The sequence below is a fragment of the Homo sapiens genome, chromosome 6, assembly GCF_000001405.40.
Source record: "Homo sapiens chromosome 6, GRCh38.p14 Primary Assembly".
Classification (NCBI taxonomy): domain Eukaryota; kingdom Metazoa; phylum Chordata; class Mammalia; order Primates; family Hominidae; genus Homo; species Homo sapiens.
The window spans coordinates 70,437,964-70,463,102 of NC_000006.12; the positions used below are offsets into that span (position 1 = coordinate 70,437,964).

Here is a 25,139-nt window from a genome sequence, read left to right on the forward strand (position 1 = left end):
TAGATACTTATACCATATATTCATTTTTTCGAGAAACTTTTTTTTACTGTCTGATAAAATGAGAGATTATATGTGGTTATTGGAAAAAAAGAAACAAACCAGCCAGAGTCAACATAGCAAAAGGAAGAATGGATAAAGGAAGCAGTAGCAAAAACAGAAAATACAGAATACAATGACAAGTAGAAACATTCAAAACCATTCTGACTATAAAACTCATAAATTTAAGTTGTCTTGTTCAAAGGCAGATTTGCAGGATTTAAGTCCAATAATTTTCTGTTCATAAAAGACATCTCATATTTTGAAAATAAATGCCTACAAATTTAAAATACTTACAGTAATCCTCCCTTAAGTAGTTTTACTTTCTGTGGTTTCAGTTACCTGCAATCCACCTCAGTCTGAAAACATTAAATGGAAAATTCTAGAAATAAACAATTCATAGTTTTTAAATTGCACACCATTCTGAATAGCAGGATGAAATCGTGCACGTCCCTCTTCGTCCCTCTCAGGACAGAAATTCTTTTGTCCAGCATATATCTATGTTGCATATACCACCAGCCAATTAGTCACTTAGTAGCTGGTGTTGGTTATGAGATCAACTGTCATAGTATCACAGTGCTTGTTTCAGGTAACCCTTATGTTATTTAATAGTGGCCCAAGAGTGCAAGAGTACTGTTGCTGACAATTTGGATTCACGAGAAGCTGTAAAGTGCTTCCCTTAAGGGAAAAGACGAAAGTTCTCGACTTTAGGAAAGAAAAAATCTCTTATGCAGAGGTTGCTAAAATCTGTGGTAAGAATGAATTATCTGTGACGTTGTGAAGAAGGAAAAAAAATTCATGCTAGTTTTGCTGCTACACCTCAAACTGCAAGTTATAGCCACAGTGCATGATAAGTGCTTAAGATGGAAAAGACAGCAGGGCACAGTGGGCTTATGCCTGTAATCCCAGTACTTTGGGAAGCTGAGGTGGGAGGATCTCTTGAACCCAGGAGCTTGAGACCAGCCTGGGCAACAATATAGTGAGGCCCTATCTACCAAAAAAATTACAAAAACAAACAAACAGCTAGCTGGACATGGTGGTGCTTGCCTGTAGTCCCAGTTACTCAGGAGGCTGAGAGGTGGGAGAGTCGCTTGAGTCCAGGAGTTGAAGGCTGCGATGAGCTGTGATTGCACCAGCCTAGCCTGGATGACTGAGCAAGATCTAAAAAAAAATTGATGGAAAAGCTATTAAGTTTGTAGGTGGGAGACATGGACCCAGAAACGTGTTCTGATTGATGGCAGTCAGGTTCAGTACTATCTGAGGTTTCGGTCTTCCACTGGTGGTCTTGGAGTTTATCACCTGAGTGTAAGGGGAGACTATTGTATTTAGTGAATTGAACCTTTTATCATTATGAAAAGACCCTGTTTATATCCTAGTAGCTTTTTGCTTTGAACTATTTTGTCTAATATTAATATTATAACATCAGCTTTCTTCTAGTTAATATTTACAAGAAATACCTTTTTCAATTATTTCACTTTCAACCTTTCTCTTTCCTTGTATTCTATATTAATTGCAAACAACATATAATGGGATTTATCTTTTTCATTTTCTAGGGCACTTTTTGTGTTTAAGTGGAACATTTAATCCATTTATATTTAATGTAATGGCTGATTTATTTGTGATTATGTTCATAATTTCATATTTTGTATTTTCTATGTCCGCTCTTCATTTGCTCTCCTATACTCTTTTGTTTCATGTTCTGATCTCTACCAGTGTTTCAGGTTTATTCTTCAAGAGGACATTCACTTTTGCCAGGCTCTTAGGGCATTACCAATCTAGGACTAACTTTTGTTTCTTTAATGGAAAGTTTCAAACATAAAAGTATAGTAAGCACACACCTATCACCTAGCCTCGGTTATCAAAGTTTTTTCTTCCTATTTCACCTGTTGTTCCCCCCAGCTGTTTTTTCAGTATGTATCTCCAACAGATAAGGACTTCTGTTTTTAACATATTTGTAAAATCATTATTGTACTTAAATAAATGTTTAAAATAATTCCTTGATATCAAATAATCCAGTTAGTGTACACAGTCCCTCAGTCATCTCATAAGTGTGTTCTTAATTATTTGTTTGAATCAATATTCACCCCAAAATTCATAGCTTGCATTTGGTTAATATGTCTCTTACATTTTCCAAAATTTAAAATTGATGGTTTAATCTAAAGGATTGATTAAATTCCAGTTGTTTTTGAGACGAATCCTCAAGTGATGCTATGTTCTTCCTATTGCATTGCATCAGAGGACAGGTAATTTCTGGTTTTCTCTTTTTTGTGATATGATTGATTCAGGTGTTATATCAACCTAATGGACCCATTAAACAGTTCCCTATCACTTAATTGATGGTACCCATTGATGATCTTTACCCAGAGTCATTATTTCACTAGAGGTTATAAAATGGAGATATCCAGGGCTGGGCACGGTGGCTCACACTTGTAATCCCAGCACTTTGAGAGGCTGAAGCGGGAAGATCACCTGAGGTCAGGAGTTCAAGACCAGCCTGGCCAACATGGTGAAACCCCATCTCTACTAAAAATACAAAAAATTAGCTGGGCATGGTGGTGAGCACCTGTAATCCCAGCTACTCAGGAGTCTGAAGCAGGAGAATTGCTTGAACCTGGGAGGCAGAGGTTGCAGTGAGCTGAGATTGCACCATTGCACTCCAACCTGGGCAATAAGAGCTTTTTTGTACATATAAAAAATTAAATAATTCTGTAAGTATTCAGTTTGAAAAGATGTTACCTACAAAGAAATGAGAGTCTGGTCTCAAACTTTTTCTTAGTATTACTTAAGATCCTGAAATAATGAAACAACGTTTTCAGAAGTTTGCAGGAAAGCTGTCTCAAAAAAAAATGGAGATATCCAAATTCTGTTATTCCTTGTGCATTTATTAGCTGGAATTCTGTGAAGAATTTTGCCTCATTAACTATTTGGTTATTCTGACATATAGTTTACACAGAAAAGACATAATAAATGTTTTATTATTTCTCCCTAGTTACTTGTATTCAGAATATTTTGTTGTTGCCGTAGCATATTACACATATGATCACTTTTTATTTTGTGCCAATATAAACTCATGGATTTTCAACATATTTGCTGATAATATTGTGTCACTATCAGCTGGGTGCTGTGGCTCACGTCTGTTACCCCAGCACTTTGGGAGGTCAAGGCAGGTGGATCACCTGAGGTCAGGAGTTTGAGACCAGCCTGGCCAACATTGTGAAAACCCGTCTCTACTAAAAATACAAAAATTAGCCGGTGGCACGCACCTATAATCCCAGCTACTCAGGAGGCTGAGATGGGAGAATTGCTTGAGACTCAGAGGTGGAGGTTGCTGTAAGCTGAGATGGCGCTACTGCACTCCAGTCTGGGCAACAGAGTGAAACCCTGTCTCAAAAAAGAAAAAAAAACATTGTGTCACTATCCTTTCTGATGCTTAGAGGGAGCCCTTCAGGTTGGTTTCTGTGAATTTCCCACAGGACAGTCTAAGCAGTGTTTGATAGTTTTCTTGTTTTCTATTATGATTAGGTGTTGCAGACTCTTGTACATTCTTTGATCCAGACCTGGAGTCAGCCAAGGAGCCCTGGTTCCTTTTATTAGGAAATAGTACTTAGAAATCATAATGTATATACTAAAGGTACACATTTTGGGGTCATTTCTTCTAAGTCCTTTCAGTTAACAGCATTAGCAAATTTTTTTTTTTTTTTTTGAGATGGAGTCTCACTCTGTCGCCCAGGCCAGAGTGCACTGGCGCCGTCTCAGCTCACTGCAACCTCTGCCTCCTGGGTTCAAGCGATTCTCCTGCCTCAGCCTCCCAAGTAGCTGGGATTACAGGCGCCCACAACCACGCCTGGCTAATTTTTGTATTTTTAGTAGAGATGGGGTGTCACCATGTTGGCCAGGCTGGTCTCGTACTCCTGACCTCGTGATCCACCTGCCTTGGCCTCCCAAAGTGCTGGGATTACAGGCATGAGTCACCATGCTCCACCACAAATACATTTTTATAAGAAAAATGCATCATTAATGTATACTGATATTTTCAATTCCAGTTTAAGTTTACAAGGATTTTACTTTTTTAATTTTATGTTTGTGTCTCTTTTTACTTATAGCGAAAATCTTGGTTCCTAGTAATGTAGATCATTACTTACTTTATGTATGTGTGTGGACATTTCTATATAGAATAGTTTCAAAATAATACTAACAACATTACCACCAAGACCATAAATATTTAAAATTTCTTCATGGGTTTTTTTTTTTTTTTTTTGCCGAGATATATCCCGTGAGGAATAGGCAGTCAAAATACTGTGTTTTAAAAATCACTTGAAGTATTTCTCTGTGGAATTGCAATCAAGTAGATATACATTAAATTTATTTGTTTTAGTGTTGTTTAGGGATTGACATTTTCTTTGTTTTGTAATTATATAAAAAATTTACGTGGGTCCAAAACCAAAACTCTGTAAAGTCCACTATATTGAGATAGATCTTGTTTTGATCCCTGTCCCTTCTCTCTCCTCATCCCATAGGTAACCATTTTATTTTTATTAGTTTTTGGTATATCCTTTTTTTCTTTTGAAAATAGAGGCAAATAAATATATAGTCATACCCTTCCATCTTACACAAAGGTAGCATAGGATACATACACTCTGTACCCTACTTTTGTTGTTTAAAAGTATATCTTAGAGGTAACTCCTCTAAGTGTGAGTGATTAACATTCGGGTGGTAACACCTGAATCCATCATATCCCAAAAAAAAAGAGCCAGACATTTTATGTCCTTTGATACAATGCTATAGGAAGTACATAATCAAACCTTTAGATTAAACCACCAAATTTAAATTTACAAAAATCTAAGAGATATTTCATATTCCCTGTTACAACTGCATTTTACACCATTGTATAGTTGTACCATAGTTTATTCAACCAGTCCCCTATTGGACATTTTGTTTTTATCTTATATTTTCCCATTGCGGTTAATACTACAATATTGCAGTTGCTATTGCAATTAATACTACAATCTGCATATATCATCTAATATTTTTGCCAGATTATCTTTGGGATATCTTCTGAAAAGTGGGATGTTAAGGCAAAGGGTAAATGACACTTGTTTTTGCTCTTTTTTTGCCAAATTACATTCCATATGGGGTTGTGCCATTTTTGATCTCACTAGTGCTGTGGTAGAATTCCTGTTTGCCCACATGCTTGCCATCATATTACACCCATGTGCCATTTAACTACATTTTGGTCAGTGACAGACCGCAAATATGACAGTAGTCCAATAAGATTATAATGGAGCTGGAAAATTCCCATCACCTCGTGATGGTAGTAGCTTTGGTAACCTCCTAGTGCAATACATTACTTTTTCTATGTTTAGATACACAGATACCTATTATCGTGTTATAATTGCCTGCAGTATGCAGTACAGTACAATATGGTGCAGATCTGTAACTTAGCAGCAATGAGCTATGTGGTATAGTCTACGTGTGTAGTATAACCAGCAGGTTTGTGTAAGTACACTACATTGTTCGCACAGTGGCGAAATCAATCTAAGGATGCCTTTCTCAGAATGTATTCCTGTTGTTGAATGAAGAGTGACTATATTTTGTTAGATTGTTGGATTTCTGTCAGTCTGATAGTTGAGAATGGATATATTTTTGTAGTGAAAATTTATAGTTTTTAAAATTATAAGTGAAAGTGAACTCTTTTTGCATATTTAGAGTCATTTGCATTTCTTTTTCTGTAAACTGTTTAATCATACCTTTTTTTTCATCTTTCTATTGGTTGATTGGTCTTTTTCATCTCAATTTTCTTCTTAATTAAGGTTTGCTGGAATATATCAACAGATGGCCTCAGAACAAAAGCAGCTTAATTGCTTTGCCTAATTCACTATGATTTTGCCTTCCTTTAAATTTTCCTTGGTAATTCCATACTATCTTGTCAGCTCTTCAGTAATTTTACAGATATACTTTTTATACTTTATCTGACATTGTCTTTTAGCAAGAGATTGTTCTGAATAACCTAGCCCACCACAACTCTTAAAATGGAAGTGTTTTCTTTGATTTTTGAATTTTTTTATCGCTTACTTCATATTTTGTTTTTAAAAATAGGTAACTTATCCACATTTTAAATTTTTGGGCTGGGTGCGGTGGCTCACGCCTGTAATCCTAGTGCTTTGGGAGGGAAGCAGGCACATCACTTCAGATCGGGAGTTTGAGACTAGCCTGGCCAATATGGTGAAACTCTGTCTCTGCTAAAAATACAAAAATTAGCTGGGCTTTGTGGCACACGCCTGTAATCCCAGCTACTCCAGGGGCTGAGGCATGAGAATTGCTTGAACCTGGGTGGTACAGGTTGCATTGAGCAGAGATCATGCCACTACACTCCAGCCTGGGTGACAGAGTAAGTCTGTGTCTCAAAAAAATAAATAAATAAATAAATAAATAAGCATGCCTGTGGGTTCCAGCTACTCGGGAGGCTGAGATGGGAGGATTGCTTAAGCCCAGGAAGTCAAGGCTGCAATGAGCCATGGTTGCACCACTGTACTTCAGCCTGGGTGACAGAGTGAGACCTGTCTCAATAAGAAAAAGAATAAAAGAAAAAAATTTATTTATCTAAAAAATTTTATATCTTTTAAAGTAGCAATAATTTTAATTAAAAATGTATTTACAGTGGTAGACTGCTTTCATAAATATCAGATGAACTTTATTTAAAATAATGTGTATATTTGCTTTTAGTGTTTCTTTCGCTGTATTTCTAACACCTATCACATAGATCTTCAATAAGTGATGAACAAATGGTATTCAGGGAATATAAATTACTATATGACATTCTAGTAGTATACATTAAATGTGGAGATTAAAAAATTTTTTAACAGTTTATTGACATAGCATCTTATTCTACAGAATCAGTGATCACACATTTTATGATAGGCTGTTTTAAAAGTATTTTACTTTTTCTGTTTTTTATCCTTCCATTGATTTCTATTTTAAAATCGTAATTATTACCAGAAAATCTAATTAGGAAGCAAATCTAATGATTCATAGTGTGCATATTCTTTAACTAAAGACATATTGTTTCATCTAATGTTAGGTGAGATACTATCATGGTGCTAATTGTGGGAATACATAAACAAGGGTGGGAATACATAAACAGGGGTGGTAAAACTACAGCCTTTGGACCAAATCTGGCTTGTTGCTGGGCCAAACCCAGCCACGCCCATTTACTTACTTTGTTTATGGCTACTTTTGCTCAGCAGCAGGAATGAGTAGTCACAACAGAGACTATGGCCCACAGAGTAAAAATGTATTTACTGTCAAGCCCTTTAAGAAAGCTGTTGACCATTGGTATGGAATATTTAGATATGGTTTCTGCCGTCTTGGTCAGGGAAACCCTAACCCAGTGGTGCTAGAGGAATTAAAGACACACACACAAAAATGTAGAGGTGCGGAGTGGGAAATCAGGGATCTCACAGCCTTCAGAGCTGAGTGCCCTGAACAAAGATTTACCCACGTATTTATTAACAGCAAGCCAGTCATTAGCATTGTTTCTATAAATACTAGATTAACTAAAAGTATCCCTTATGGGAAACAAAGGGATGGGCCAAAACAAAGGAATGGGTTTGGCTAGTTATCTGCAGCAGGAGCATGTCCTTAAGGCACAGATTGTTCATGCTATTGTTTGTGGTTTAAGAACGCTTTTAAGCAGTTTTCCACCCTGGGTGGGCCAGGTGTTCCTTGCCCTCATTCCGGTAAACCCACAACCTTCCAGCATGGGCGTTACAGCCATCATGAACATGTCACAGTGCTGCAGAGATTTTGTTTATGGCCAGTTTTGGGGCCAGTTTAATGGCCAGATTCGGGGCGGGGGGGGCTGTTCCCAACATATCCCCCTTATTTGATTTGCAAAGCAATAAAAGCAAAGGCAGTTTTGTCATGGTGAGCTACTTCTTGCAGGAGTCAGGATCTGCATCTGCAGACTATACAAAGACAAACAACACAGATTAAAAGCACAATCATCATTGAAATCACAGAGCTTCCAACTGTTTTTATCCATTTTAATGGGTTACTAGCTGCTAATCTGTCTGCAGCTCCTTCAAGCACTCCAGTTCCTGGCATTAAGGTCAGGTGTACCTGGGATGCTTTAAATATTTGTTCTTTTAATTTTGCAATATCCAAAGACAAGTTTGTGGAGTGTCCTTCTAGATGCTTTTTTATTCTTTCCCAAATTTTGATCTTATTAAGAGCCATTAATAGTTTCCACAAATCCTTATGTTTAGCTTCTACAACAGGCCATATCATTTGAGGTTGAGGTGCCACTATACCACCGTAATTCCAGATAGTAGGAACTCTTGCTGTACTTCTTATCATTTCTACCATCTGACCGTTTTGTTCAGACCATCTGAACATAGTGTGACCGTGGCATGCAGACTGAGAGGTGCAATTCAAGCTAAACATCCCCTTAGGGGATCAATCAATAATGATTCCATAGGAATCATTGTGCAGCACCTCTGCCTGTTCTGCAATGCAATCTTTCTAAACAAGTAAGTTCATTTTTTTCTGGCCAGGTTCAATTTTGTTTACAAAAAGATTTTTGAGGGTGGAATGCCTTGATTATGGGAGCATTTTTATTGTAAATACTGAGATCAGAAAGCATGTGTAACTGCGTCATAGAGTAATTACATTGAGGCATTATTACCGGCCAAGATTGATAAATATGCCCAATAAGGATAATTGTTCTCTGTGTCAGCCCTTGTTGAAGGAATACTCACGGCAGTGGTGATCACCGCTCTCATAACTACCATTAAGTTACTCATTGTGACAGGTTTTCAAACCTTGCAAATTTTTTTCTAGTCCCAAACCAGGGACATACCCATTTCATGCATCATATGTTGACTTTGAGGGCTATATAATTGTTCTGGAATTAGAACTTGTGCTCCGCACTGTTGTAATAAATCTCTCCTCCATAAATTTATAGGTACAGAAGTTATAATTGGTTGAATAGTCCCAGGTTGTCCATCGGGCCCTTCACAATGCAAAATATAACCACTTTGATATGCTTCAGGGGCTTTACCAACTCCAACTATGTTAAATTGAGCGGGTTGAATTGGCCACGTGGACAGTCAGTGCTGTAGAGAAACGATTGAAATGTCCACTTCTGTGTCTACCAAACCTTTAAATTTCTTTCCCTGAATAGTTATTTCACAGGTATGACGTTTATCAGTAATTTGATTTACCCAGTAAGCTGCTTTGCCTTGTTTATTTGTGCTTCCAAATCCTCCTGTTTGTTTAATTTCACTTTTTACCATTCCCACATATGGCACAATCAGGAGCTGTGCTATTCGCTCTCCTGGCTCTGCTTTCCAGGGAACAGAAGTAGATATAACAATTTGAATTTCCCCATTGTAATCTGAATCAATGACTCCTGTATGTATTTGTACCCCTTTTAAATGTAAACAAGACCTGCCTAGAAGTAATCCTGTCGTCCCCGCTGGCAAGGGTCCACAGACTCCTGTTGGGACCTTTTGCAGGGGTTCCTCAGGCAGAAGGCTCACAGCTTTTGTGCAGCATAAATCTACTGGGGCACTACCGGCTGTGGCGGGGGACAGACATTGTACAGGGGTGAGGGAATGGTCTGAGCTGGAAATGCCCTGGTTTGGAATGGGGCCCAGGATGGGCCCCTCATGGCGTTTCCCGAAATCGGGTTCCCATCGTGACACTGATTAGCCCAGTGTTTTCCTTTTCTACATTTTGGACATATTTCAGACTCAGCAGTTTTCTTTTTTCCCCTATCTGGCAGCCTGACTCGCTGATTTTTTCTACATTCTTTTTTAGTATGCCCATGCTTCTCACAGTTAAAACAAGCTCCAGGAAGTGGAGTATTTCCTTTATCCACTCAGTACTGCTGTTGCCTGTGCTAGCAGAGTAGCCTTATGCAGATTACCTCCGATACCATCACAGGCCTTGATATAATCGACTAAATATGCTTTCCCGAATTTAAAAGGAAAAGGCTCAAATGTAGCTATAATATTTCCCTGTTGATCTGCGGGGTGTATTCTAACAGGGAACTGCCAAGCCTCTAAATCACCCTCTCATCTAACTTGCTGAATTCCTGCCTGAATAAAACTAAGAGCGGTTATTCAAGGCGCTGCTTGAACAGTCACTGAGGCAACTACTTTTCGCCCAGTGTCCTCTGGAAAGGAAAGATCTGGAGGGTCAGGCCACTCTTTTTCTTTAACATAATAATGAGGGGATGCAGAAGGGTAGACATGAACCTCTCCCTCCTTTGCCGCTTTAGCTGGCAAACAAACCTGCTCTGTAACCTCTTCTGTTACTTCGTTGTACTCTCCTTCCTCCTCATCATTAGTGTGAAAGTGTTCCAAGGTGGAACGAACCAGAGCCCACACTTGTGCCACTGTTACCCTGATGCTTCTGAGCTCCCCTTCTTACTCACCACGGGGTTGGCTTTAAGAGTACTCGAGTGTCCTCCAGCTTAGTTCCACGTTCTCCAACCGTCGCTCCGGTGACCCTTCGACCTGGATTCGAGCCCCCGTGATGGACGCCACTTGCCAAGACCAGCTCAGTGCTAACCCAGTGGTGCTAGAGGAATTAAAGGCGCACACACAGAAATATAGAGGTGTGGAGTGGGAAATCAGGAGTCTCACAGCCTTCAGAGCTGAGAGCCCCGAACAAAGATTTACCCGCGTATTTATTAACAGCAAGCCAGTCATTAGCATTGTTTCTATGGATATTAGATTAACTAAAAGTATCCCTTATGGGAAACAAAGGGATGGGCCGAAATAAATGGATGGGTTTGGCTAGTTATCTGCAGCAGGAGCATGTCCTTAAGGCACAGATTGCTCATGCTATTGTTTGTGGTTTAAGAACGCCTTTAAGCAGTTTTCTGCCCTGGGTGGGCCAGGTGTTTCTTGCCCTCATTCTGGTAAACCCACAACCTTCCAGCCTGGGTGTTATGGCCATCACATGTCACATTGCTGCAGAGATTTTGTTAATGGCCAGTTTTGGAGCCAGTTTAATGGCCAGATTTTGGGAGGCCTGTTCCCAACAGGTTTCTTCCCTCAAAATGGTTAATATAGAATGGGCTTTCCCTGATACATTCTAACAGAGAAGTGGCTTTCTTTTCATATTTTAAAATTTTTTTTGACAATTTAAAAGTTGTATATATGGAGTACAATGTAATGTTTGGATGTATGTATTAAATCAAGCTAATTAACGTATTTATCACCTCACCTACTTTTTTTTTTGTGGTGAGAACATTTTAAATCTATTCTTTTAGGAATTTTGAGATATGCAGTACATTATTATTAACTGTGGTCACCATGCAGTGCAATAGATCACTAAAACTTACTACTCCTGTCCAACTGCAACTTTGTACTCTTTGACTAACATCTCCTCTTTTCCCAATCCCCAACTCCCAGCCTCTGGTAAACACCATTCTACTCTCTGCTTCTATGAGTTCAAGATTTTTAGATTCTACATGTAAGTGACATTATACATTATTTGTCTTTCTGTGCCTGGCTTATTTCACTTTGCATAATGCCCTCTAGGTTCATTCATGTTGTTGCAAATGACAGAATTTTCTTATTTTTTAAGGCTATATGTAGTATTCTGTTGTATATATATATACTAGATTTACTATTCATTATCTAGTCATCCATTGATAAACACTAAGGTTGCTTCCATTATCTTAGCTATTGTCAATAATGCTGCAGTGAACATGGGAGGGCAGATATCTTTCTAATATACTGATTTCAGTTCTTTAAATATATACCCAGTAGTGGAATTGCTGGATCATATGGTAACTCTATTTTTAGTTTTTTGAGGAACCTCTATAATGTTTTCCATAATGGCTGTGCTAATTTACATTCTCACCAATAGTGTGCAGTGGTTCCTTTTTCTCCACATCCTCACCGACACTATCTTTTCCGTTTTCTTTTTGATAATAGCCATTCTAACGGATGTGGGTGATTCTTATGGTATTGATTTGCATTTCCCTGATAAATGGAGATGTTGAGCATTTTTTACATATCTGTTAGCCATTCGTATGTCTTCTTTTGAGAAATGTTTATTCATGCACTTTGCCCATTTTTTAATTTGGTTATTTGTTTTCTTGAAGTTGAGTTGTTTGAATTCCTTGTGTATTTTGGATATTAGTTCCTTATCAGATGTATGGTTTGCAAATATTTAAACTTTTTTTTTCCAAATCTGTGGGTTGTTTCTTCACTCTGTTAATTGTTTCTTTTGCTCTTCAGAAGCTTTTTAATTTGGCGTAATCTTATTTGTCTATGTTTGCTTTTGTTGCCTATGTTTTTGGGGTTATATCCAAGAAATCATAGCTCAGAACAATGTGATGGAGATTTCCTCTTGTGTTTTCTTCTAGTAGTTTTACAGTTTCAGGTCTTATATATAAATCTTTAATCCATTTGAGTTGATTTTGTATATGGTATGAGATAAGGATCTAATTTCAGTCTTCTGCCTGAGGATATCCAGTTTTCCCCACACCATTTATTGAAGAAACTGTCCTTTCTTCATTGTGTGTTCTTGGCACCTTTGTCAAAAACCAACTGACCATAAATGGGTGGGTTTATTTCTGGAATTCTGTCCTGTTGCATTGGTTGCTGTGTTTGTTTTTATGCCAGTACCATGCTGTTTTGATTACAATTGCTTGGAAATATATTATTTTGAACTCAGGGAGTGTGACCCTTTTAGTTGTTTTTTTTTTTTTTTTTTTTTTTTTTTTTTTTTTTTTTTTTTGAGTCAGAGTCTCACTCTGTCTCTCAGGCTGTTAGTGCAGTGGTATGATCTCAGCTCACTGCAAACTCTGCCTCCTGGATTTAAGCAATTCTCATGCCTCAGCCTCCCTAGTAGCTGGGACCACAGACACATGCCACCACGCCTGGCTAATTTTTTGTCTTTTTAGTAGAGATGGGGTTTCACCATGTTGGCCAGGCAGGTCTTGAACTCCTGACCTCAAGTGATCCTCCTGCCTTGGCCTCCCAAAGTGTTAGAATTACAGCCATGAGCCACCATGTCTGGCCACTTTCCTCTTTTTGCTCAAGATTGCTTCGACTATTCAGAGTATTTTGTGGTCCCATACAAATTTTAGTACTGTATTTTCTATTTCTGTGAAAAATGATGCCAGATAAATGCAGACTTTTGTTTAAATGTCTCCAAATTTTGTCAAACACATATTGAACACTTAACTGTGTGTAAACCAAGGATTGTGAATGTACGCTATGAATAAGACATGGTCTCTATGCGGAGGAAGTTTAAATTGAAGCATGTACCACTGTTTAGTATTAATTTGCTTTTATATCGTATACCTGTATATTTTAAAATAGCAATATTTTGCTTGATCTTTAGTCAAAACCCTTGACATGGGAAGTTGAAGAGTTCCTAGAAAACTTTGCTTTCCCCTGGTTTCAAGGTTCCCACTGATTCCACTTCGATCTTTTTTCACAGTTTTCTCATGTTTTCAAGCAGTCCTCATCTTAATCTTAACAAGTCATCTAACTTTATGGAGTTTTCTCATGCCCCTTTAAAGCCATATTGTGACTTTTAATGTTCCAAATTTGACTGACCTTTCATTTACTCTTTGCGATCTGATGCTATATCCTTTCCAAGATGACACCTTCCTAGAATAACAGTAATTAATATATTTATATTTTTAATCTTTGCCTTATTTGCAAATTTAATATCTGAAACCGCTCTCTAGGATATTATTGAAGAAAAACAAACATTAAATATTCACCTCCTCAGTATATATCTAAACTTATCCCTAATTTATAATGTTGATTGAGCTTTTGGTAATTTTGTGTGTATAGGTGTATGTATCCTCCATTACATACACAAATTTGCAGTGTGATGATGTTATAAGACAGTCATATTATAGTTTTTACCTCATAATCATCTTTTTCTTAAAGTTATTACTAATATTTGGTGGATTTTTAAATATATGTATGCTATTTCAAAAATCTTTTAGAATAAATAAGTAAAAGTACATAAACAAATAGCTCTGACCTTGAAAAAAAAAACAATTCTTTAAACCAACTGATATCTTCATTTTGTCATTTATAGAATCCAGTTTTTAAAAACTATTTATAATCTTCTATTTTCTCAAAATTACATTATAAGTAATTATCTTTTTATTTTATAAAAGCAAAAATGAACCAAATGAAACAATGAAGTTCTTAGACGCTTTTCTATTTCCACAGGTTGCTATCACATACAAAGTAAGAAATATTATATGTATTGTATCTGTTCCTTTCATTTATCTTTATATATACTGGGTTTCTCTTTTGGTTTTATGCCATGTTTATATTTGATATGTAAGCCTGATTTTTTTTTTCCAACAATAGTAAATGTTATGGGAGACTGATATAATTAGGCCAACTTTATTATTTTAATATGGATACAAATGTGGAAGTCGGGGCATTGCATATTTTTAAATATGTTTTGAAATAACTTCCTTGTTTATTTTGCTTTAGTTTTTACCAGATTCGTGCTTCTATGAAAATTCCATCAAGAATTCCCCACAGAGTAGAAGCTAGTTTGTTGCATGCAACAGGTAAGCCAAAGAATACATTCAAATTTAAAAAGTAATCTGAATGGTCAATAACTTTTAATAAAGTTTTTTCATTACAGATATAAGATACCTGTAATGGTATAACATCATTATGATAACCATTGTAAGAAATATATTTGGGGACTCAGTGAAACAGATTTGATTACAGATACTCTGTCTCCTTCTTAGATTTCATACAATGAGCACATCAAAGAATGTATATTAAAGTTTCATGAAAACAAATGTAGGATTGGTATCCATTATATCATATAAGATGCAATCTAAAAAGATACGCAGTAAATGGGAACATATAATTTGACTTATGGTTATAAAGGTGTTTTATGATAAAGTTTTATGGTATGCATTTTGAGGACATTTTTTAAACCAATTTTTTTTTTCTGGATTAGGTTCTCTATTTATGAAACAGAGCCAAAAGGCAATGTAGGAAGGTATGAAATAGACATGTTACAGCAGCTTTGTTAGTTACTCATATTCTAAGGAGAGACACCAGCATTAAAGGGGTTAAGTTAAAACTGGTGGCCCTGACATAATTAGTGGTCATTTTTCAGCTTTCCCAATGCAATATATGCTGTTTCATTACATATAGTTAGAAAATGAACCAGTTAATGAAACATTCTAAAGAGTTATTATGTAAGCCTAATATGAATTACTAGTTTTTAAAGCACCATAAAAATAATAAAATACACCTAACACTAGAGCTATGCTGAGCATAATTCAGTCCATTTTGAAATTTTAAAAAACTTGTTGGGTATTTGAAGTGTTTAGGATTCTCTTTTTATCATACTATGGATACTAAAATGTTGGTTAATGTTAAATTTTTTATTTTTATTTTTTATTATTATACTTTAAGTTCTAGGATACATGTGCACAACATGCAGGTTTGTTTGCATATGTATACATGTGCCATGTTTGTTTGCTGCACCCATTAATTCATCATTTACATTAGGTGTTTCTCCTAATGCTATTCCTCCCCCATCCCCCCACCCCACAACAGGCCCCAGTGTGTGATGTTCCCCGCCCTGTGTCCAAGTGTTCTCACTGTTCAGTTCCCACCTATGAGTGAGAACATGTGGTGTTTGGTTTTCTGTCCTTGCAATAGTTTGCTGAGAATGATGGTTTCCAGCTTCATCCATGTCCCTACAAAGGACATTAACTCATCCATTTTTATGGCTGCATAGTATTCCATGGTGTATATGTGCCACATTTTCTTAATCCAGTCTATCATTGATGTTCATTTGGGTTGGTTCCAAGTCTTTGCTATTGTGAATAGTGCCGCAATAAACATACGTGTGCATGTGTCTTTAGTAGCATGATTTATAATCCTTTGGGTATATACCCAGTAATGAGATCGCTGGGTCAAACGATATTTCTAGTTCTAGATCCTTGAGGAATCACCACAGTGTCTTCCATAATGGTTGAACTAATTTACACTCCCACCAACAGTGTAAAAAGTGTTCCTGTTTCTCCACATCCTCTCTAGCACCTGTTGTTCCCTGACTTTTTAATGATCACCATTCTAACTGGTGTGACTCATTGTGGTTTTGATTTGCATTTTTCTGATGACCAGTGATGATGAGCATTTTTTCATGTGTCTGTTGACTGCATAAATGTCTTCTTTTGAAAAGTGTCTGTTCATATCCTTTGCCCACTTTTTGATGGGGTTGTTTGATTTTTTTCTTGTAAATTTGTTTAAGTTCTTTGTAGATTCTGGATATTAGCCCTTTGTCAGATGGGTAGATTGCAAGAATATTCTCCCATTCTGTAGGTTGCCTGTTCACTCTGATGGCAGTTTCTTTTGCTGTGCAGAAGCTCTTTAGTTTAGTTAGATCCCATTTGTCAATTCTGGCTTTTGTTGCCATTGCTTTTGGTGTTTTAGTCATGAAGTCCTTGCCCATGCCCATGTCCTGAATGGTATTTCCTAGGTTTTCTTCTAGGATTTGTATGGTTTTAGATATAATGTTTAAGTCTTTAATCCATCTTGAATTAATTTTCATATAAGGTGTAAGGAAGGGGTCCAGTTTCAGCTTTCTACATATGGCTAGCCAGTTTTCCCAGCACCATTTATTAAATAGGGAATCCTTTCCCTATTTGTTGTTTTTGTCAGGTTTGTCAGAGATCAGATGGTTGTAGATGTGTAGTGTTACTTCTGAGGCCTCTGTTCTGTTCCATTGGTCTATCTCTCTCTTTTGGTACCAGTGCCATGCTGTTTTGGTACCAGTACCATGCTGTGTTGGTTACTGTAGCCTTGTAGTATAGTTTGAAGTCAGGTAGCATGACGTCTCCAGCTTTGTTCTTTTTGCTTAGGATTGTCTTGGCAATGCAGGCTCTTTTTTGGTTCCATATGAATTTTAAAGTAGTTTTTTCCAATTCTGTGAAGAAAGTCATTGTTAGCTTGATGGGGATGGCATTGAATCTATAAATTACCTTGGGCAGTATGGCCATTTTCACAATATTGATTCTTCCTATCCACGAGCATGGAATGTTTTCCATTTGTTTGTGTCCTCTTTTATTTAGTTGAGCAGTGGTTTGTAGTTCTCCTTGAAGAGGTCCTTCACATCCCTTGTAAGTTGGATTCCTAGGTATTTTATTCTCTTTGAAGCAATTGTGAATGGGAGTTCACTCATGATTTGGCTCTCTGTCTGTTATTGGTGTATAGGAATGCTTGTGATTTTTGCACATTGATTTCGTTATCCTGAGACTAATGTTAAATTTTAATGAATTATACATAGTGTAGAGTTTATCTTCCTGAAGACTATTAAAATGCTCACAGAGGTCTGTTGCTTATGACAAATACACACACACACACACACACACACACACACACGTATATATACATGTGTATGTGTGTGTATATGTATATATATTTTGTATATTCATTCATCTTAAAATGAAAAAGAATTTATTCTTCGCTTGGCATACATGTCAATGTATATATTATTGCCATAATAGATCATCTTTTGTAAGTCTACTTTCACGAAACATAGAGGTAATAAAACAAGGTGACATGACATGACAGATTTGGTGTACTCTTTTGAACATCCTTGAATCTAGTAGACTAGATTTCTAGCTCAGTTTTTTCTCCTGAAGTTGCCAGTTGAGAAAATCCTCAGATTTTAGTTGGTGAGATATCTTTCAAGATGGCAAGATACTTGACATATATTCCACAAGGTTAAATAGTCTAACCACTTTTAAGTAATAAATTTTAAAGATATGTTTGTTCCTTATTATTAAAGTTTCGAGAGAAATAATGTCAAACCTATGAATATTAATTCATTTTTTTTGAAGCGGAGTCTTGCCCTATCGCCAGGCTGGAGTGCAGTGGTGCGATCTCGGCTCACTGCAACCTCCGCCTGCCGGGTTCAAGCAATTCTCTTGTCTCAGCCTCCCAAGTAGCTGGGACTACAGGCGTGCATCACCACACCCAGCTAATTTTTGTATTTTTAGTAGAGATGGGGTTTCACCATGTTGGCCAGGATGGTCACGATCTCTTGACCTTGTGGTCCACCCGCCTCGGCTGCGCCCATCCTGAATATTAATTCTTAACCACTAAAGTTGTCCTTGTATAATTCTCAGCAAATGATTGATTCAAATACCCAAAAGGAAGTATGCTAGAAGAAAACATTTGCTGATTTCTTAATTTCAGTTACTATATAGTCTTACTTGTATCAAACCCAACTATCTCCTTGTTATGTCAGGCATGATTTCTCCATTCTTTCATTATTCCTTTTCTGAAACAATAGATTTAGAAGTTCTTTACATTTACAAATGAAACATTTTAAATCATTGAGTTAATCATTAATCATTTAGCATTTCTCTGTATCATACAGAGAATTGTTTCTACTTTGTTTTTCGCAGATTCCAAATAATTACCTCAGAGGACTGGAAATTTTAACTGTGCTTGGTTATTACAAATCAATTCCAAGAAAGATTTTGAATGTCAGAATTATTCTTTGGGAATAATGACTAGTGGACAAAAGTATCATTTGAAAATAAAATCTTATTGGTTAGATTTTTAGGTTGGTGTAAAGGATATAATTAAGTGTCACAATATTTAATTTGGTTGATGTGTTTCATTAAAGACTATTTTCTTCATAATGTTAACTTACTCCTCAAGTGACTTCCTCTTTTAGTAGTAAGTTACCTTGCCCTAACTTTATGGAAATATTTCTCTACCTCTGCTTATTGACTTGTGAGCTCAGGATAAGGAAGGGCATCAAAAATAAATTGTGAAAAGATTTAACAGTAACCCCTGATTACTCTTCCTGGTCCAGTGGCCCTTGAGTGACTGTGCTTGCTGCTACTTGTATTACAGTTCAGTCAGGAGCACCCTTTTCAGGCGTGGTAGTGGCATTATCTTGGTTAACAATAGTTTAGAATTATGACTCTGGGCAGGAACCTCAGAATCTATTCATTGCAGTGATCTAAAGTCAGGTGTGTCATTCAGCAACTTCTGGACCTTTAAGAACACTTTTTATCCTGATAACTCAGAGTGGATGCTGTGTTTTAAAGAACACAGATATACTTTATGGCAACAAGGAAATGTCCTTTCTGTGTTTTCATAGCATGTCACATCTTACAGATGTTTTTCCAAGGCTTTTTGAGTGTTTTGTCTTTAGTAATTTATGAGCTAAATACATGACTGATACATTTTCTGTCAGTGACTATTTACTGCAGCAACTGAGCTTTCAAATCTAGTGAGTGTTCATTTATTATTATATTTGATAGTGACAGGGTGGTGCTACAGACTCAGTCAAGATTCTTTCCGTACGTAGTTTCAGGGCACGAAATCATTCCGCCTTTATTAGGTTACACCTAATCTGTGCATTAACAATGTGAATATTGTGATATTTGTATTTAGCCTCATCTTATACAAGAAACGTCTTCCATCTGACATTTTATTTTCCAAATGAGTATGTTTGTTCAACATTGTCAGTTTTACCTTTACTCACCAGAAAAGTGGACATTTTATAGCTGCTCAGTCCCTTCTTTGTCTTTTGAGAGAAAAAAAATTCTAGAAAAGATAAAAATGAATTTATTTTATGGACAACCCTATTTGAACCAAGTTCCTTGATCACTATTCTTCATCAACTAAATACTGGTTGGAAAGGATTTATCTTCTATAAAAATTAACAGAAGTTATAATTCAATCTCTAGGTCATTGGTATGGCAGAAATATTACATATAATTAATGTTATTTACAAAGTAATGTTATTTTGACATGACAAACTGTGTCAGAAATGCCCAAATAGAGTACCTTCTCTTAGTCTTTTCCTGGGTACTTAATTTTTTTTTCTTAGTTATGTCTAGATTTAATCATTGCTGCTGCCAACTAAGTTTCTAGGTTCTGATACGATCAGTTGCATATAATAGACTATGAAATGTAGTGATCTGATAGTTTACTAGTATATTTAAAGGAAATATCTTTTAAAAATAAATAGTTTGTGGCAGACACCAGTCTATAAAAGGGAAGCCTGAGTTTGAAAATGATAGGCTTCCATATTATATAATATGTGAAAATCTCACATATGTGAAAATATTATCTGTGTATTTTTTAATAGCATTATACTAGAAGTTTTTAGAAGATTATATACTTTTAGTTAAATGATAGCAGCCAAAATAGCAAGCACAAGAACCAAATTTTGGACAGAAGAAGAAAGAAATACATAAAATCTCTTTCACCCTTTTTTCTCATTCTCTTTCAAAATAGCAAATTTTACCTGTCATGTCTGAAATGTGCTAACAAATATGACTTCTCAAGATCTTTCATATTTCAAATATTATATCAATGTATTTTATTTTTAATTCTCTAATTTATGATAACTTGTTTTTCTTGTTTGTGGTTTGCAAAGATATGTGCAAAGCCTTTCCAATAAAGTGGCTCTGAACAAATTGTGAGACATGCTGTTTTTCTCCTGCCTGACACTATTCCCAACATGATTACCTTGTATGTATAGGTAACAACCTTTCCATAGCTTTTGAATGTTGTTTCATCCTCTGGGCACCTGTGGTAAGGTAAATCTGGTAAAGTATCAAGTATTTCATGCCAGTTTACCCCAGAATAGCCTCTATCTTATTAAATGTTAAATTAATATGAATATCATAGAGGATAGTGATTGATGGGATGTGGTGACTTATGACATGCGTCTCACAAGTGTTAGTTTGAAACAAAATAATGTTCTTCTGTCTAGATGCATTTCCTCCCCAGCAGTCTGAAAAAACAAGGCAAAGAAGGCTGCCAACTTATTACAATCTTTGAGATATTGTTTCTGCCTTCTATATCCTTCCCTCAAAATTTCATTTTTCAGTAGTACTAACGAGTTCTTACAGTGTGTATCTTTTCACTATTAGTAAATTATTAAGGAAAGGTATCCTTTTCTGCCTCAAGAAATTGCTCCCATGTATTTAACTGACTTTTAATAAATAAATATATTGATTCCTAGTCTTATCCTTGAACATAAATAGCTTTATATAGGATGATTTTCTTTTATCCTTTGTGTTAATTTTTTACCTCTGTTCCTTAAAAATTCATTTTTTCTTTTAAGGGCTTGGATTTTTCTCTATGCTTTTTATTACCTGCTCTATTTTTCTTTTAACTTTGATTCGTACTTTCATCTTAATACCTTTTCCTTCCAGCGCTAAATTTTACCATAATTCGTATACCTTCTGTATATTTTGAGAAAACTTTTAGGAAAAATAGTTTAAAATAATGATTTCTGTCTGTGAGTTACAGTGGAGCAGGTTGAGTGGGATGGGAATTAGATAGTATTATACAGCTTATTGCCATACATTTACATTATTTCCAGCACAAGATTATGCTGACAGTGAGAGGTTCGAGTCAGGAAATATCTGTCATCTGCAATAACATCAGTCATGAAAGACAATGAGTATTTATAGAACTGTTGAAAATTGATTGGTAAGAAAAGCATTCATAGACTTTTACAACAGAGAAGTCATTGCTGGTTTTAGGAATCTGGCTCCAGTTTGAAATGTTATGCAGTTTTCATAAAAAGTTTAAATAATGACATCCTAGTAATGATAGTATTATTAAGATTAAATGTATTTTGTTTAGTTTGCTTTTTAATATTCATCCATCTTTTTTTCTGGAAAAAAATTTTTTATCAAAATAATATACAGCATATGGTTAAAAGATCAATTAGTCACCAGGCGCGGAGGCTCATGCCTGTAATCACAGCACTTTGGGAGGCTGAAGCGGGCAGATTACGAGGTCAGGAGTTCGAGACAAGCCTGACCAACATCGTGAAACCCCGTCTCTACGACAAATGCAAAAAAAATTAGCCAGGCGTGGTGGCGGGTGCCTGTAATTCCCGCTACTTGGGAGGCTGAGGCAAGAGAATCGCTTGAACCTGGGAGGTGGAGGTTGCAGTGAGCCAAGATCGCATCACTGCACTCCAGCCTGGGGACAGTGTGAGACTCCGTCTCAACAACAACAACAAAGATGAATTAGCCCAGAAAGACTTGTAGTAAAAACTATAGCTTGTTTTCTAGATGTAACAACTTTTACCCGTGTCTCTAGTCCTTATGGTTACCTCCATAGGGACATTGTCAATGGACTTCCTGTTATGATAAAAAGACTATTTATCTTATTTACACCATTTCCTCGTTCCCTCTCCCCCAACCTTTTAAAAGAGATACTGTTATTCTCATATGTGTTTCTGACCAGTCTCTGTAGCTTCAAACAGTATATTTAAAGCTCCATTTTCTACTTCAGTGATCATGACAGACTTCTTATTTTGAAATAAGGATATAAACAGTCCCACCATTTTTTTCTTCTCAAATTTTCTCTCTTTCTACCTTCCAAACTCTGTTGGAATTATCAAGGTTGCTGACATTCATATCCTGTTTTGTAACTAGTTAAATCTTTTGTCCTTTGTCTATTGGTTGGTTCTAAAGGTTGAAAACAAGTATTTGCACTTTGGTGGTAACACAAGAAGGAAAGGGTTTCTAGAATCGAAATGACTATCCAACATAAAGAAGGAAGATCATAAGCGTCCAGTAAGACAATTAAGGCAGGTCTAGTTACTTTGGTATTGATGTGGATCACTGTTAGATAGCTAGCTAAGAATATTTTTCTGAAAACCGATAAAACCATTTATGAGATGGGAAACATGAACTAGTGTGACCAAGAGCAAGAAGGAAGAATTTAAGAAAAGAAGAGATAGATAGAAGATTTATCTATCGATCTATCTATCTATCTATCTAGATATCTATTAGATTTACCTAGATAGATAGATAGCTATCTTTTTTTTTTTTTTTTAAGTAGACTCTCACAATGGTGGGATCTCGGCTCACTGCAACCTCCGCCTCCTGGACTCAAGAAATTCTCCTGCCTCAGCCTCCCGAGTAGCTGGGATTATAGGCACGCACCACCACGCCTGACTGATTTTTGTATTTTTAGTAAAGACGGGGTTTCATCAGGTTGGCCAGGCTGGTCTCAAACTCCTCACCTCAAGTGATCCGCTGCCTCAGCCTCCCAAAGTGCTGGGATTACAGGTGTAAGCCACCGTGCCAAGCCTATAGATAGATAAATCTTAATGTAGTTTAGAAACTGTTAATTCAGAGATGCTGCTCTGATGTAGTTAACAAAATAGTGACTTGGAATCAGGAGTCTGTCTTCCTACTGTGCTACCTGGGAAAACTCACTTAACCTCCTTGAGCTTCAGTTTCTCCTCTGTGCAGTGTATTACCTGCTACACAGGGTTATTGTGCATTAAATAACTGAAAGTACTTAGACTGTAAAGGGCTGTATACCTTTTATGTTATATACCTCAATATGTTAAATATTGAGTTCTAGAGATATAAGGAATAATGGAAAACAGTCATGTTTTGACTCATTATGCTATGAACCATTTTATGTAAAGAACTGAAACATAATTTTTCTGTGTTATGTATAATTTCTATTATATAGCAAGTAATGAAGTGCATAGGATAACATTTCATGTTAATAAGTATAATTTTAAAATTTCATATTTTTCTGAAAACCAATAAAACTATTTATGAGATAGGAAACATGAACTAGTATGACCAAGAGCAAGAAGGAAGAACTGAAGAGAAGAAGAGAACTCCCGAAAGATCCCTAAATTTATATAATACCTCATGGAAATCTAGGTACCTGAGACTGCATTTCTATTCTTATAAAGCTAGCTTCCTCTGTGGAATGTGTTTTAATTTGGGCATAACTAGTTTCAAATCTTGTTCTGCCACTCACTAGCTATTTGGTCTTAAGCAAATTATTCCATTTATTTGAGTCTTTCTTTCCTTATCAGTGTAATAGATATAATCCTTCTCACAGTGTGTATGTAAAAATTAAGTTAGAAAATTGTGTAAAGAGATCTAGTACCATGCTCAGTAAATGTCTTTTCCCTGTGTCTTGCCCTCCCTTTCTGTCCTAAATTGCCCCAGTAGTTAAAATGCTGAAATAAGGTGGACTCTAGGATCTCAGAACCAGCTTGATATAAGGAAAAACAGTCTAAGAAAAAGCCATTTATATGTAATTTCCTTAGTTTTCAAGAATTCACTCTATGTGTAGACAGGTTAGTTGAATGATATGGTTTAACTTTTTTTATAGCTCCTTTCCATCTTTTCTCTCCAATGAGATAGCTGTTCCTTACTAGTGTTGGAGTTCTGTGGTGTATATGAGAGAACACATATGTTTGAAATAGTTTATCAGTGTGACATTGACGGCCAAGCACAGGCTGTGGCACAAACAGCTGTGGCATTTGATTTCTGGGCAGATTATCAGAACCTTGGTGTCTGTAAAATGTATATATTAATCCCTACAATATAAGGTTGCCAAAATGATTAATAATGATTTCCATAAAGCACAGTGCCCAGCACACAGTATTTAGTAGCCAGTATTAGTACTAATAAGACTGAAATGGAGGGAAAAAGGGAAATTTCACAAAAATTCAAATGATAATGTGTGGGGAAGGTCTTAATAAAAAAAAGTTCTCCATTTTGATAGAAGCTTTACAACTAGATAAGCATTTAGACTTACAAGAAATCAGCCCAGGTTGGTTAAAAAAAAAAAAATGCAGCTATTGGTATTTGACCAGGTTTTTTCTAAGGCCACTTCTCTGTCTTGGATAATATTTTTTGTGTGTGTATATATGTATTTCATTTTTCTTCCTATATGCTACTACCCAGCTTTTAGGTAGGTGATAGCAGTTTCAAAAAGTTAACATCAAGGAGAAAGGAAGGCTGGAAATAAGGGCTAGTTATAAAAGTAAGGAAAGATTGTCCCAGTTACTTTATTTTGGCAGTGGTTAATTAGCTACTTGGAATAAAGCTTCAAATATTCTGAAGTGCTGTTAGCAGAACCATATCTTTCTCCTCTATTAGTTGTCTCCTTAAGCTTTGCTCAGCCACCAGCTTTTCAGGGCCTTCCTTTGAGAGCCACTGAAATGTTGGGATAGTTCTGCTGTGTTAAGATTTTTTATGATTTGATCCTATCCTACATGTCGAATTTTGTTTCCCACCATTCTTGTGGATTCAA

The 25,139-nt window shown here is 36.3% G+C and overlaps 1 protein-coding gene across 59 annotated transcripts in view; it reads left to right on the forward strand.

Moving 5' to 3' along the window:
• FAM135A (family with sequence similarity 135 member A) overlaps positions 1-25,139 on the forward strand; it is a 147,667-nt gene that overhangs the window by 24,456 nt on the left and 98,072 nt on the right. For 58 of the 59 annotated variants that reach the window (XM_047419158.1, XM_047419165.1, XM_047419169.1 and 55 more), the window contains one exon: positions 14,529-14,608. The exons of the other annotated variant lie outside the window; for it this stretch is intronic. In XM_047419158.1, coding sequence (XP_047275114.1) covers positions 14,529-14,608 — 80 coding nt within the window. The remainder of the gene's footprint in view (positions 1-14,528; positions 14,609-25,139) is intronic. 59 annotated transcript variants of the gene reach the window in all.